Below are 16,968 nucleotides of genomic sequence, written 5' to 3'. Positions count from 1 at the left end.
CAATTTGTCCACACTCAGCTCTAATAGTAAAAATTGGGACTTTGTAGACATGAAATATAAAGAAATATCGAGTTCATTATATAAATAAAAGGGTTTATTTTACTGTAGGAGATGTAATAAGTAAAAAGTAATAATTGAATATTTACTAGATTAAATGGCAATGTAGGGAGGAATGTTTTCTAGTTCACCAAAAATTAAACAATGCTCCAAGTACATTTTAGATTTATTTTATTATTTTTAATGAACTATGTTTAACATTTTACAAATCTTCAGGTTGTTACAGTTTTCAGCAGTAAATATAGTAGTAACAGCAATAAATACACCGAAATATGAGATTTCTCTGAAAGAATACAAAAAATAGAAACACCTGGAAACAAGAAGGCAAAATGTCAATTCTAGATCTGAAATAGAAATTAATACAGCTGAATTCCTTTACAATGCTCGTACATGGGAAAATGAGAAACTCATGCGCCTTATAAGAATGTGTGACTTTGAGCTTCACCTTTTTAGGAAGTTTTGAGGGACATCATTTGACCCACAGATCTCTAAAACCCTATAATACGTATTGATACCAGAGGATTCAAACACATAGTGGTCTGAAAATGATTGCCAAAGCAAAGAAGTGCTTTCATTCCTCAACATTTGTAATCTCTGTGGTATATTATGTATTATAAAAGGGCATAATCCCTATAGAACTGAAAGGGCATAATCCCTATACAACTGCATAAAGTCATAAAAATTGATTTATAAAGTCTCAAGATCATAATATGTATTCAAAAATACATACAGCTGTGCTTTAGTAAATGAATCCATCAGTTAGTCAAGAGATAGTTTTGCCTTTAATATATATCCAAAGTATATACAAAGGATCGACAAATGTTAACAATTTGTGACCAAAATCATCTAGGTTTATATTTGAAAAAACCTTGGTTTTCAATTTAAAAATTTAAGAAAGTTGTGAATATTGTTTATTATCACTTGGGTTAAGAAAAAGTAGATGGTTTCAGCTTTTTAACAGGAAATTTGTGAACTACTCACAAATGAGAAGTCACACTCTTTTGATCATTAGAAAAGATAAATTGCCTATAATTACCAATTGAGAACAGCATGTGCAGTGTAAAAAATAATAAGGTTTTATTCTGAAAGCAAACAAGTAGTTCTAGAAAAGCCCTTGGGATACATCATCTCATTTCCCTTACACAAAAATGAATAAAATAAGTGGCATACCTGAATGGTATACCCTTATACCAATATGTGTATTTCATTACCAAGCTGAGATGAAACATTTTTATTTAAAGGTGGGAAAAATAAACACTTAAAATATAATGTTTTGCTATATAGTTTCTAACTTCATTCCAACATAAACAATTTATCAATATATACTGTATTCAAAAAACAAGAAATACTACTCACATGCAATATTTATTGTTCCAACATGAAACACTAGGTCTATATTTTTAATAAAACTGCACATCTGTTTAATTTGGTTAACTGAAAGAAAATGCACACTTAAAAAAGATGTTATATCCTTCTAATAATGCAAGTCTATATCAAAGGCACTTCAGCAGAGCACTAACTTTAACCTTTTCCAAATCATTTTGAGTCATGCTGCTTTTGATGTATCTTTCTGTGTAAGACCAATAAGAAGCCTTCTCTAATTAATTGTTATGAGCCTTATCACTAAAAAAAAAAAAAAAAAAAAAAAAAGGAAGCCTAGGTATTACCCAAAACATTATTTCTTCTATGGATTGGGGTAATATATAGCAAATATTTGCCTAGGGTCTTTATGTTCTTTCAGTTAACACAGAACAGTAGGAAGGTTATTTGACACGTTAGAAGTTGGAGGAAAAAATTGCACATCTAGCTATAATTTTACTGAAGCTAATGTGGCTGTTTTGGTTCACTGAACTTGTTTACATGGTTTGGGTCTCTATGCTGCTCCCATGTTGAATAGGAGGGAATGAAAAATAAAGCAATTTAGGATTTTTACCCCCACAAGGGAAAGGTGCTTCAGACATTTGCCTTCAGGGAAATTTTAAGAAAAATGGGATCAGTTGATTTTAATGAATAACGAGCTTTTATTTTTAGGATGTATGAATGGTAATTCAGAGTTAATTAAAAAGTTGTTCACATTGAATGCTTGCTATAATGAAAAGAACATAGATATATTACTTACAAAACTGAAAAAAGAAGTTGCAAAGGCTTTAAGTGACTTAGGGAAAAACTTTTACTTTTCCCCTGAAATTGAAACTGTTTTCCTTACACATCTTTTAAGAAAATCAATAACTGGATATACAACTATCCTGAAGGTATTTTTGAGCCTCAGGAAAATGGCATCTCTTTTTCTTCTCATCAACATTTAAGAAAAACAAATCAATGTATATTTTATCTGCACATATTTTATTTTAGTGTTCAAAAGAAACTTTCACATCGACTTTTTTTTTAAATTTCATAGCCTTTAAGTGACTGAGTTCAGGTTTTTAGAATAGAAGAAATATATTAAAACCAATTTAGCCTAAAAGTATCAGTGAGCCTTAAACCAAAGTCATAGATTGTTTTTTTCAGATTTGTAAAAAGTTTCCCTTGACAGCTAAGCTTGCTTCATTGTTGAGGGGAAGAAAAAATAATTTTTAAATAAAAACTCAGTATTAGAGCATTAATTTCTCAAATTTCTAAATTAACATCTTACTTATTTTGTAAAGTTATATCCAAAAACAACCAAAGAGCTGGTGTCTCCCTCTCTAATGACCAAGTAGCTTCTTGCCCATCTTATATAAATGTAGGATTTACGTTTGGGATGATACAATACACATGCTCTTTAAAGACCAAACAACATTTTCTTTGTGATAACTCCAGAGTAACATCAGTCCAAGTCATTTATCAAGTTATTTTTAAGTATAGGCAGAAGAAGACGTAATAGTAACATTTAAAATAATATGATGCCTGAAGTCAGTTTTGTTTCTAAATGTTCCATGGGGTAGTCACCATGGTAGAGGCAACATTTTTGGAGGCAACTTGAGGAGTATATATTTCACTGTTATTCTTAAGAGAGTCAAGGCCAAACTGGCTGGCTGAGCAACATTTTCAGATAACTAACATCTTGAAGCTATTTTACATTTTGAAAACTTAGATACTGTAAATTCATCACCCAAAAATAAATGAATAGGCCAGAAAAAGCATTCCTTGGTATCTTTCTCTCTGATTACTGAATTACCATTTACTCTGCTTGAGACATGTCCAAGAACCATGAGATTGCTCAGTCTCATTTTCTTAAGTTCGTACTGCAATTTACAACAAGAAGCAAGAATAAACAGCACGAGACAGCAGACACACAATCCCCATTGGAGTTAATTTATGGGAATCAGTGGGCGTTCCTCTCGCTTCTTCCAGATGTTAGTCTTGCTATCTCTTTTGGCTAGTGGTGGTCTGCCCCTTCTTTTAGTGGGGGATGTATTAGCTTCAAAATCTTCAACAGTGCTTTTCCTTCCTGGCGACTCTTCTCCAGGGTGCTCCATGATCACTCCACTCCCTCCATCTAGGATGTGCCTTAAAGCTGGGTCCTCAGGGGAACAGACGGTGGTTCCACTCTCACTGCTGCTTAGGTCTAAATCTTCTAAGTAAAGGATCTTGGGCTGATGCATGCTTTTGATGAATGTTTTCTCCCTCTCGAGCTTTCTACTTGAGTGAAGCTCATTCATGTCCACCCCAGAGTCCAGACTGGTGTCATTGCTCTGGGTTCTCTTGCCCTTTTTCAGGTCTATAAAGGAGTGCCTCACTTGTGCAACTGGCTTTCCATCAAGAGACACAAACCAGGCTCTGGGATGCGGGGAGGGCTTTCCTTTGGACAGCTCCAGGAGGGTCTGTTCTGAAATTCCTTGAAGTTCCGATGAAAATGGAGTCATTACAACAGCCTCATTTAGTGTTCCAGGAACAGAGACGGATTCCAGTAAGCTGCTTGAGTATCGGCTCCAATCTGAAGCCTGGGATGGCAGGCTCTGTTGACCTTCAAGTATGATATCCTCTTCCCTGGCATCTGGGGGCTGTGCATGAGAATGAATTGGCATTTTGGGCAAGGTCTGCGTAAAGTTCTCTCGATTTACTGGTTCCATCAATTGGCCATAGACTAACTGTCCCTTTCTTGGCAAAGTAGCTGACTTAGCAGTATGTAATTGTTCCGGTGTGGAGAAAAGGTCAGATGTTTGAAGGATGGCAATGGGTTGGCTGTAAATATGCATAAGCTGTTCAGGAATATGGGAACGCCCATACGCCTCCTCATTACCTGTGAGATACCTCTTTTCATCTTGAGCATCACCTAGAGATGAAGATAGATTGTTGTTAATATGTTTAGGTTGTTTGGACCCTACATTGGGCTCCAAAGACTGTGTTGGGTTTCTTGAGTAATTATTTTGATTGACTGATAGAAATGAAACATCTTCATTGTAGATTTTAAAATCGTCCCGAGTTTTTACCATGGAAACTCTTTCTTCTGTTTCTGCCTTTGATGGTTCCTTTTTCTGAGGACTATATGAGGAGTTTTTGGCATTGAATAACTGCGACTTGTCCTCAGCTTTTAATGCAACTTTAACTGTACTGATATGATTTATGTGTGTTGTTGAAGTTGTCTGGTCTCTCTTGAGGACCTCAAGTTTAGTGATATTTCTTTCTCTTTTCTGTGGAGTACCACACTTGTCCCTAGAGTAGAAGAGAAGGCAAAAAATATTTAAAAGTTATGACACAAATGGTTCATTTATTAAAAATCACTCCCAATCTACATATCATACATGCAATGCTATTGTGAGATATGTAGATTAAAAATAAAAAAGGATATATTATAAGATTAAATTTATTTCTACAAATAAACTTTTCAATGTACAGAATATACTGAAATGATACCATAACTTGATAGTTTTCTGTGTTTATAGCCATTTTCTTACCTGCAATAACAAAGTAGTACAGCAAAAAATCCAATGACAATGACTATTGTTCCTCCTAATATGGCTGTAAGAAACACTGTGTGGTAGGCAGTTATGTCCTTGGAATCTTCATTTATACCTGAACCTACATGGTTCAATATAAACAAAGAGAAAATGTTATTTTAGATCAAATTCTCAACTATGTCACATCCTGGGTGAGGCAAATTGAATAAGTGTACATACTTTTATTTGTTTGCCCCCCTCCTATGACAGATTTCCCTATGGGTGAAGTAAACCTTCCCTATCCTTTGGCTTAATTGACTGACTCGCTTTAACCAATGAAATGTGAGCATATTAAATGAGTTTGCATGGTGTGGCTCTGCCCTCTTGCTCAAGACTTCTAATATGTGAATAGCATAGCCCAGAGAGTTGTTATTCCTTCAACCTGGGGTCTAGAATGAGAATATCTGTTGAACTGAATGAAGCCAAGTCCAACAGCGCAGCAGACAATCCTGAAACACTCATGAAATGTTAAGTAGCAAATAAGCGTTTGATACTGTTAGCCACCGAGACAGCAGGGTTGTTTGTTACTGCAGCAATGGATATGACAGAAGATGCTGAGATGCTGCTATAGAAAGCTTAAAACATATGACATTGGCTTCTAGGCCAGGCAGTGAGAAAACTGTTTCAAGAGGCCGTAAAACTGGTGACCCAAGTAACAAAAAAATTGGTAAAATAAACTGGGCGAAAATATTTTTAACTAACTTGAGCTTTGTGCAAAGAGATTTTAAGATAGAATGTTGATTATCAGCTGCATTTATTTTTTATCTAGATATTTAATCTTTAAATATTTTAAAGACAAATTCAAAAAAAGGATTTACCAAATTAAGCAGGGGTCTAAAGAAATAGAATACAAAAATTCTAAAACTTGAAGCATTAAGAGTTGCAGCTCCTTCTACCTGGGCTCTAGAGTGAACAGAGCACAACTGACCAACTATCCTCCTGCTATGAGAACATACGTATACGAATGCCATTGTGATAAGCTTTACTGCAGTAAAAGCTGACTAGGATGATTTCAACATAAAAATGAATGCTACTGGTAAAAACATACATATAGACCAATGGAACAGAACAGAGAACCTATAAATAAATCCATACATCTACAGTGAATTCATTTTCAACAAAGGTGCCAAGAACATATATTGGGGAAAGGACAGTCTCTTCAATACATAGTGCTGGGAAAACTGGATATCCTTATGCAGAAGAATGAAACTACACTCTTATCTCTCACCATATACAAAAATCAAATCAAAATAGATTAAAGACTTAAATCTAAGACCTCAAACTATGAAATCACTGAAAGAAAACATTGAGGAAACTCTCCAATAAATCTTGGCAAAGATTTATTGAGTAATACCCTGCAAGCACAGGCAACCAAAGCAAAAATGGGATAACATCAAAAGCTTCTGTAGAGCAAAGCAAACAATCAACAAAGGGAAGAGACAACCCACAGAATGGGAGAAAATAACCAGAATATATAAGGAACTCAACTCCAGAGGAAAAATTCTAATAATCCCATTAAAAAATGAGCAAAAGACTTGAATAGAACATTTCTCAAAAAAAGACAAACAAATGGCAAACAGGAATATGAAAAGAGGCTCAACATATTTGATCAGAGAACTGCAAGTCAAAACTACTATAAGATCATCTTATCCCCGTTCACATGACTTTTATCCAAAAGACAGTCAATAATGAATGCTGGTGAGGATGTAGAGAAAAGGGAACCCTCATACACTGTTGGTGAGAATGTAAATTAACATAGTCACTATGGAGAACAATTAGGATGTTCCTCAAAAGAACAGAGCTACCATATGACCCATCAACCCCACTGCTAGATATATACCCAAAAGAAAGGAACTCAGTTGCTGAGACCAGCTCAGTCGGGAAGACCCTAACCCAGCAGCGCTAGAGGAATATCAAAGAGATATCTGCATGCCCATGTTCATTGCAGCACGGTTCACAATAGCCAAGATTTGAAAGTGATCTAAGTGTCTATCAACAGATGAATGGATAAACAAAATGTGATATATGTACATAATGGAGTACTATTCAACCATAAAAAAGGATGTGATCCCGTCATCTGCAACAACATGAATGGGAGTTGAGGACATTGTGTTAAATGAAATAAGCCAGGCATAGAAAAACAGACTTTGCATGTTCTCATTCCTTTGTGGGAGCTAAACATTGAAACAGCTGGAAATTGAGGGTAGAATGATGGTTTACCAGAGGCTGGGAAGGGTAGTGTGGGGTTGGGGGAGAGTAGGCATGGTTAGTTAGTTAGAATGAATAAGATCTAGTATTTTCATAGTACAACAGAGTGAACACAGACAATGTACTAATTGTACATTTAAAAATAAAGAGTATGATTAAAACATTTATAACAATGCTTGAGGTAATACCCCATTTATGTTGATGTGATTATTATGCATGATTATTATGCACTGTATGCCTGTATCAAAATAGCTCATGTACCCCAGAAATATAAACACCTATCAATCATGTACCCATAAAGATAAAAAATTTAAAAACATGATAAAAGTGAATGCTATTGGGCAGCTAATCTTGAGGTAATCTGTTTCAATATCACAAAGACTTCATTGTGCTCAAAAAGCTATATAATAAATCTACTTATCAGTATCAATTACATTCTAATATGTATTCAGGGAGATAGGGTAAGAAGAGTGAGTGGTGGGGCAGCTGGTTTCTGGTCATCTTTACCATGAGAAAACATCCAGCATAAGGCTCCCACCTGCACTGAGGACACTGAAGAAATTGAGGGACCACCAGTTCTTTAATTTTATCTTTCAAATTTTGCACTAATTTGATAAAAGATTTGGAGAAACAGTATTGCAGTTATGCATGTAGACTTTACAGCCAAAGTGCCTGAATTGGAACTCTCACCTCACCATTTATTTTTATGTAGTCTTGGGAAAGTTTCATTTCTTTTGTATCTAGTTCCCTTATCTGCAGAGCAGTAACAGTTATATCTAACCCATGTGAGCTGCTGACGATTAAATGAGTAAATACTTGTGAAACACTGACACCAGTCCTTGGCTCACGATAAGCACTCAGTTTTCGCTATACCACACTATTGTTGAATGAAGCTTTAAGGTTATATTAAAATGGGCACTCTAATATTGGCCATGATTTCACAGATGGTGACTGTTCTCTTATTTAATAGACAAACAAGCACAGCACTGTACAATATGAAGTTTTGTCAAACAAAAAAGAAATGAGAGTAACTTTCTGCTAGCTGTAGATCTGTATGGAGGATTGGTTTGATTATAACTAGGCATAAATGAGTTTGCTTCCAGAATGGAGTAATGCTAACAATGTTCACTCCACAGGAATCCAACAAAACTCACATTTGGAAACAGGATGTTGACATATTGAGTTTGCCCCAAATCCTATATGTATGGCAGTAGCAAGAGAGTGTATCTGTATCCGTGTGCATGTGTGTGCATGCATGTCTAGAAGGAGTTAGGTAGAAAAGCATTCTTTTCATTGAAGTATATTTAAAATGCACATTTAAAACACTTGTTTATTAAACTCTGTACTCAACCACCTACTCTCCTACAGCAATCTGAAAAATTAATCTCTTGCACTTAATATTTTTTCCAAGGAATTCTAGAATTCTATTTAAACTTTAAAAAACAAATTAACCATATTTGTAACTAAAGCAGCTCTGCAAACACTAGCTGATCATAGGAACAATTTTGATTTTATAGTAATACATCCTAAAATATTTAGGGACATTAGGGATTGTGTCATAATCAACATATATATATATATATTTGGTCTCTGTCCCTAGTTACTGGCACAGAGCTTCTAAAACACTTGGAATTTCCTGAGCAACAGGGAGTCTAGGAGTGTCTTTTGTTCTATTATGTGGTCTTTGATCCTGTTTCCTAACATAGAGCTCCTAAATCCCTTGGAATTTTCTGGGTGTTGGGATTATCTTTTGTTCTAACTTGACTCTGGGCAGGCTCATGCTTGGGGGCTGGTGACCAACAAGCCATGCTTAGAAGCCTGTAGCTTTCAGCACCACCCCTCATACTCCAGGAAGGAGAATGGCTGGAGATTAAGTTAATAATTGATCATGCCTGCACGAGGAAGCCTCCATCAACATTCCTCAAGTATAGGGTTTGTAAAGCCTCCAGGTTGATGAACACATCCATGGGCCAGAAGGGTGATATACCCCAACTCTATGGGGGAAAAAGCTCCTGTACACAGGACCTTTACAGACCTTGCCCTATGTACCTCTTCATCTGCTCTTTATCTGTATCCTTTATTACAAGCTGGTAAGTGTAAGTAAGTGTTCCCCTGATTTCTGTGAGCCATCATAGCAAATTATCAAACCTGAGGAGAGAATTGTGCAAACCCCCCATTTGAAGCCAAATCAGATGGTATGGGTAAACTGAGAACCTGCTGCTTGCAATGGGCACCTGAAATGGGGGCAGTCCTATGGGATTAAACCCTTAACCTGAGGGGTCTGACGCAAACTGTAGGTAGATAATGTCAGGATTGAATTGAATTATAGGATATAATCAACGTCCACTGAAAATTGGAGAACTGGTTGGTGTCTGGAAAGGCCATGTGGAGACATCTTGAGAAAGTGGCCATCTAGAAGCCAGGAAGAGGCCTCACCAACCCTGACAGCACCTTGACCTTGGACAGTAGCCTCCAGACTGTGAAAACGTAAATTTCTGTTAATAGCCAGTTACTACTCTGCAGTTATTTTGTTATGGCTGCCTGAGCAGACTAACACAATATCCAACTCTCCCAATTTAAAAACAAGAAAACTAATGTTCAGTTGGGTAAGTACCTATTTCAAGCTTACTCAGTTAATTACAAAGTAAGGGCTATCATCAAGTTATCCATACTTCTAATGTAGTATTGCTTTGACTGATAGGCTTGCAGAATAAATTCTTCAAAAGCATCACTATAGAAGGTCTCTAATTCAAACTAAACAAGAATCCCATACTTTTATTTTAGTACTCATCCAAACAACATCTTTTCCAACAAATAATCTGGAACAGAACTTCCATGTGGTTTTAGAAAATAATTTTGGCTTTTGTAATTCATAAAGCTATCTTATATAATTCAGTTATTTTAGATATATTTTTAGTGTAAGTACATTTCTCTATAAAACTCAAATGCTCCTTAGGTTATTTTTATTAAAAATGAAGTGAGTTGTATGAAATTAAATATTGTTTTTCATCAATATTTCATTATAGTTGCAAATATAGAATGGGATAAAGCCAGACAGCTGGCAAGATTGTATGATATTTTGCATCATGAAAAGCAAAAGTAACCACCCTCTGATTTCTGAATAAATAATCCTGTAAGCACTAAGTTCAAATAGAAATAAAAATAACATTTCTCTTGATCATATATGGCTAATTAGTCCCAGCTTCTTAAGAGGCTGAGGTGGGAGGATCCAGAGTTTGAGCCCAGCCTGAGCAGGCAACATAGCAAGACCCAATCAAAAAAGAAAATTGAAACTTGCCAACACAGAATGAAAATAAAAATCAAACTTGATTTTAAAAACTAGAGAAAACTGATAGCCTTCAAAATAACAGACAGTCATAATAATGTTAGATGACAAAATGCTGCAGATAAACATATGTAAAATGTCATCCATGTTCTGGATCAGGGTAAGTACTAGGACTATTCCTAATCAGTATGAAATACCCAGGTAGCAACTACCCCTCAGCTGTGAGCCAAAACACTTGATAAACCAAAAGAATTATCTCTGAAAAATGACTGAAGATGATGATATACATGCATTCAACTTTTACTCTAAAATCTTCACTAAAATAACACTAAATGTTTTGCTTTGTTTTTATTCTGTAAAAACACAAACCTACAAGAATAAAGGAAAATAAGCTATCATAATTGACTCACCAAGGCTGGTGGTAGGGAAAGCCAAGAAGCAATTTGATTTTATGCCAACACATACTGAAAAGGCCCAGGAAGTGGTAGCAGGCTGACAGTGCAACCGGTCTAGACTACCGCAGGTTAGAGAATTTTTCTTTTTTCAAAATTTAATGGCTAAAATATGCAATGTTTGAATATTTTGAGGAATGTACACAACTTGAGATCAATGTAGGGTTTCCTGAGGTACAAATTATCTAGATAATTTGACAACATGTTAAATATAAGGAAATAAAATGCTCATTTTTCCTAGACTATGAACAGATCTTCCCTAGTGGACAATTCATGGTTTTGCTCCCCAGCCTCCATCTTCCTTCTGTTCAAAATGTCAGACCAATTTTCATTTAGTACAGGGGTGTCCAATCTTTTGGCTGCCTTGGGCCACACATAAAATACATTGATAGCTCATGAACTTAAAAAAAATCATTTAAAAAACTCAATGTTTTTAGGAAATTTACAAATTTGTGTTGGGTCTCATTCAAAGCTGTCTTAGGTTGCATACAGCCTGTGGACTGGGGGTTGGACAAGCTTGATTTAATACATCCTCAGTCTTTTCTTGAATGATAGTGTCTGCAGACTTCCAAGAGCCCTTCCTCTCCTCCTCAATCCCCACCAAGTAACATGTGTGCTTGAGACCCAAAAGTGGGCCAATAGGATGATCATTCTTCAGCTCTAGAATGATCAGGAACAGTACAAGGAAAATACTGGAAAGGGTTAGAGTCAGCCACCACACAGCAGCAACCTGGCAAAGGTAGTCAAGCAGGCCTGCTAACTAGGCCATCTGGCACGGCAAGGAGTCCTGCCTTTCAGCATCTGGTTCTTCAGCCTTTCCTAGGATCCTATGAACTCCCTACATCCTTCTAATATAGCATATTTTTAAATTAGTCAAAATCTTTTTCTGTTGCTTGCAACCAAAAGCTCTAACTGATTTGGGCAGAATTTATTCATAAAAAGAAGTAAACTAAGAAAATACTTGATTTGAACAAACTTCATTCTTCACAGATTCATCAGATATAACTATAAGAGACCTTAGAGTTCATGGCGCTTAATCTGATACACATGAAAAAAAAATAAGCTGAGATCAAGTTCCTTTCCCATTGTCATATAGCTGGTAAGTGGCAGTGCTTAGAATAAAACTGAGGTCTGCTGCTATCCGTTCCAGCAAGACTATTTGAATTACATGTTTTAATTACTTTCATTTTTTACAATACCTCTAGTTCCTGGAAGTGGAGCTGCTATCCAGTACCCCAAATGTGGTGCATCATATGTCCAGATTAAATGATTGTTATGTTCCTTGACCATTCCCCGACCATGATTTACCCAAGCACCTAAAAAGGTATGTAAAAAATACTTGTTACAGTTATATCTTAAGAACTGATGGTCATGCACAGAATACATTATGGGACTTTTTCAAAGATTATGAAAACTGTGGCAATATATAATCATAGGCTAATATATATCACATCATATTATAATATAGTATATACTGTAATAGAATAATTAGAATGATTTGTTGTGACCAAAAAACACTGTAAATAAACTAAGGATGGCCAGGTGCGGTGGCTCAAGCTGGTAATCCCAGCACTTTGGGAGGCCAAGGCAGGCGGATCACAAGATCAGGTGTTCAAGACCAGTCTGGCCAACATGGTGAAACCCCGTCTCTATTAAAAACACAAAAATTATCAATTATGACACCTATTATTGTAATAGGTACTGAAATAAACTCACCTTAGAATCAGACCTTCAAATAAGTGGATCACAAAGCCTTAATCATGGAATTCATGAAAAACTTATCTATTAATTTTGTGAGTTTTAAAATTAAAAAGTACTAAATTTTCACATTTCTTGATATTAATACATGTTTTTGGCATACTAATTAAGAATTGTCATTCCAAAAAAGTTGTCATTTTATATTAAAACAAAATAGTTATTAAAAACACAAAAATTAGCCAGGCGTGGTAGCACATGCCTGTAATCCCACATACTCAGGAGGCTGAGGCAGGAGAATCGCTTGAGCCTGGGAGGTGGAGGTTGCAGTGAGCTGAGAGTGCGCCACTGCACTCCAGCCTGGGTGACAGGGCAAGACTCTGTCTTGAAAAAAAATAATAATAAAATAAACTAAGGACACAGACATACTTAGAAAAATCATGACTCTCCAGATTCTATTTAAACTGTGGATATTAAGATAGCTCTTATCTGATATTCTGATTAAATATACTGTTTTATGGCCTTAATTTTTTACTAAATATTGTCTCGGTCTAGTACTGTTGGTATTGTTCTTATAGAACTAGATCTTCTAAACTTTCAATAAATGTTACCTCATCCAGTAAAATTTGCTGTCAAAAGAAAAAAGAATTCAGTAAAACCTGTACCTTTTATGAAGTTTTATTTATAAATAGCATAACAAAGCTATTTGAGTTTGGTGTATATTTGTATTATGGTTTATTGATTTATTATAGTGAATTATCTATAACATGTAAAAAAGTATTTTAATAAGGTAGAGAAACTGGAAAATGAGAATAATTTAATCTATTGCTTTTAAATAGTCCACAAGTGTTACATCAGTGATAAATCAATTCAAAAAATGTTGTCACTGAAAGGTACATTAGAGATAGATGCCTTGGCCAGAAAGAACAATCAGCAACTAGGACTCAAACAGCAGATATTCTTTTTTTAAGTGCCTTAACACGACTTCCTCATTCAACAAATCAGGAAATTGAGGCCCAAATAAGTTAAATGACTTATTCCAAGTAGTACTGCTGGTAAACAGACTAGATTCCAAATCTTAGAGTTCTTAATCTAATGATTTCAGTAGCATACTACCGTGGTTATATAGTTTCCACTCTTTCTTTAAAACATAGATATATTACTGCTTATATTCTCTATAGTGAAAACGTATGTGTTTTGGGGGCCTTATTACCTAACAGGAAATCCCATTTCAAGTTTTGAGGATCTATTGCGCCCTATTCTCAGCCAACATGATCAGTTTAGGGTCCCATCCAGCTTCAACATGTGACCTAAAGTCTAAATAAATCTGTGCATTCAATTTGCAGGTCACAAAGACAGGTTCTAAGATGGGCATGCAAACTCCACTCTACAACTACAGTGAGTCCAAGGGCTTCTGCTATATATAGCTCCTAAGAAAATCTCTACTGGCCTTCAACCTGGCAAAGTATAACGTTAGAGCACCTACAGCCTTCTTGTCAGTCTGAAGGGAAATCCCATCCTAGAAAGGTGCTAATACAGAGCAAACAGATGAGAGTGAAGGAGGAGAGAAACCAAGCCCAAGCCCTGTGAAACTATCTAGACTGTAGCATGACTCACCCAAGGAAGTCCTACCTGTAAACTTTTCAGTTGTGGGCTGATCATTTTCCTTTTTCTGTCTTTTTTTGGTAACTTACACTCCTACCTTATTTACATGGGAACCCATGAACAAAAACAAAGGGAAGCTGAGGATGAAAATATACATATATTTCCAGCTGCTATTTAGGAGGCGAAACCCAGAAAACAAAACTAGTATCTAAGGGGTTTCTTTGGAAAAACAATTACTTTTTCTATCTCTTAATAACATAATGTTACTTATTTTCATGAAACTAGCATACATTTCCCTATGGCCTTAAACCACGCTTTTAGATAGGTATTATGAGCTTATCAAAACAAAAACAAACTTCTAAGAAGAGAGATAATTTTAAAAAATTATTTCTACCTCAAAATGGTGGTGCTACAAAAAGGTAAGGGAATGAATAAATAATGCTATTTTTTTGACATGTGTATTCCCATCATTTGCCCAATGGTTGTATTATATTAATCAAAGTGAAGTCAATTTTGGTCACTAACAAATACATTTGTGATGTTACTAAAAAACTAGAGCTGTATCAAGTTCTAAGATAAAACATCCAGCTAGTCAATTGACAAATATGTAAAATATTCAGACTATTTTAACCTAGCTCACATACCTGTGTTCATATCAAATGTCCAAGCAGGTATGCGATCCCCTGCACTTATATCATTCAGACGTAGAAGAGGAAGAGAAACTTGAATAGAGCCATTGACCTTTAGTTCTTTTCCTCCAGAATATATTTTCACACATATTGCAGCAAGAGGAGTCAATTCAATGTTTTCAAAACCTATAAAAGAAGACAGTTTATTAAAATCATATGTAAACAGAGGTGGTAGTTACCTAATTATTATAGGTCTAAAATAAATAGTTCCTCTATTTCACCAAGGGTTATCTATTTTAATATCAAATAGATACTGAATACACATTAAGGATTTTTTAAATGTAATTTTAAAATATTGTCTAAATATAGGCTATGCAATGTAACACTGACAAATCAATATGAGCCTAAGTTATCTAAGTCATCTGATGTAAGGGGCACTAGAATCCAATTCAATATTTTTTATAAATCTAAAAAGCAACAACCAAAAAAACCCCATCTCACTATAGTACCATATTCCATAAAGGCTCTATCATACACCATCAATGCAGATGTAGATTTGAAATATCTCACCCTCTCTTTTCCAAGACCATCTGTTTCAAGGAGTGCTAGAACCCACAGATCTAGCTGCACTTCTTACATAAAAAGCATTCAGATTAAAAGTTGCACTTCTTACATAAAAAGCATTCAGATTAAAAGTTGCACTTCTTACATAAAAAGCATTCAGATTAAAAGTACAATTTTTAATGGATAGGTTTGGCAATTAAACATGAAACAAAATCACTGTAATATTACTTGATAAAAATTGTGTTAATATACTTGATTATTCATACAACTGAAAGAATATAAACTTAGATTTTAAATATAATACTAGACTTCAAAGCTTGAAAAGCAGGAGAAAGGGAGATAACAGAATTGGTTATATTGTTTTGCCTAAGGTTTTAAAGATTTACTAATACAATTTACAGTACGCTTTCTTAAATATCAGGAACTATCTATAGATGTCTGTTACTCTGGGCGGAGAGAGGGAGCAGAAAGTGCCTTTCTTTTGCTTTTGAAATATTAGCAATGCCAAACAAAGTTATAATATATACCAGAATATTTATGAAGAATAAAACTATTACAGATGTTAAAATTACAGTATTTCTACAAATAGATGGGAGAAAGTATACTTTTTATCTATTTGCTTTTGGTCTACACTTTTGAATCTTTGGCTTCAAAACTAGAAATTTGTTCATTCATTTAACAAATATTTACAAAGTCCCTACCAGCACCATGTACTCATATGGGCCCCAAAGACACAGTAAATATATTTCTGATATTGTCTGCAATATTTTTTCATAATAATTCCTATCAAATATCCTTTTTTGCCCCCATGTATTTACTCCTCATCAGTTTTTTCCCCCACCCAAATGTAAGTGCATGATAATCTAGAAAAGGCACATAATTAGGCGGTCAAGAAAGGCCTCCTCTCTGAGGAGGGCACATCTGAGCTGCAGCCAAATGGGAAGAACCTTCAAGAACTTTCCAGGCAGAATAAACAAGTCCAAAGCCTCCAAATTAGAAGTGATCTTGGCAGGTGCAGGAAAGAAAGGTGGCCACAGGGCTAGAGGGCAGCAGGGGAGACAGGCAAGAGTGGAGGGTCTTGGCAGCCACAGAAAGAGTCCTCATTATCATGACTGCTTATCATCTGGAATGGCTTCAGCCGTCAAACAGGCCAAGTAGTGGCTTACTGAAAATTTTCAATTAAATATAAGAATTAACTGTACTAAATTACCTGAAAGACAAATATTAAATGAGCAAAGCAGTGCCATACATATTTTATAGGCTGGCATGCTTGTAAGCCATCCACTGCAAGCACAAATCAAATGTTATATAAATTGTTAAGTAACTACATCAAACTACTCAGTAAAACCAGTTGGCTGGCTTTCTGAAGTACCTGCTTCAACCTCACCCCTCAGCTCCGTGCAGTCAGTGGCTTTACAAACTGTTGAAACTGACACACCAGCATTTAAGATAAAGTCAAGTCAGAGGAGAAAAGAATGGTGCAAGGGAAAAAAGACTGAAAAAAACAATGAGAAGGAGAACAGAACTTTTATGAAAGGACATTTTTATCCTCA

General features: G+C 35.4%; 1 protein-coding gene across 1 annotated transcript in view; it reads right to left on the bottom strand.

Moving 5' to 3' along the window:
* Positions 1–211: 211 nt before the first annotated feature.
* The window catches only part of FAM171B (family with sequence similarity 171 member B), a 71,900-nt gene continuing 55,143 nt past the window's right edge, over positions 212–16,968 (bottom strand). The window contains exons 5-8 of the mRNA NM_177454.4: positions 14,867–15,037; positions 12,122–12,238; positions 4,935–5,058; positions 212–4,692 (exon numbers count right to left, since the gene is read on the bottom strand). Coding sequence (NP_803237.3) covers positions 3,348–4,692; positions 4,935–5,058; positions 12,122–12,238; positions 14,867–15,037 — 1,757 coding nt within the window. The 3' untranslated portion in view covers positions 212–3,347. The remainder of the gene's footprint in view (positions 4,693–4,934; positions 5,059–12,121; positions 12,239–14,866; positions 15,038–16,968) is intronic.

Source organism: Homo sapiens, chromosome 2 (genome assembly GCF_000001405.40).
Source record: "Homo sapiens chromosome 2, GRCh38.p14 Primary Assembly".
NCBI lineage: Eukaryota > Metazoa > Chordata > Mammalia > Primates > Hominidae > Homo > Homo sapiens.
This window is presented reverse-complemented; position numbering and strand designations above follow the sequence as displayed.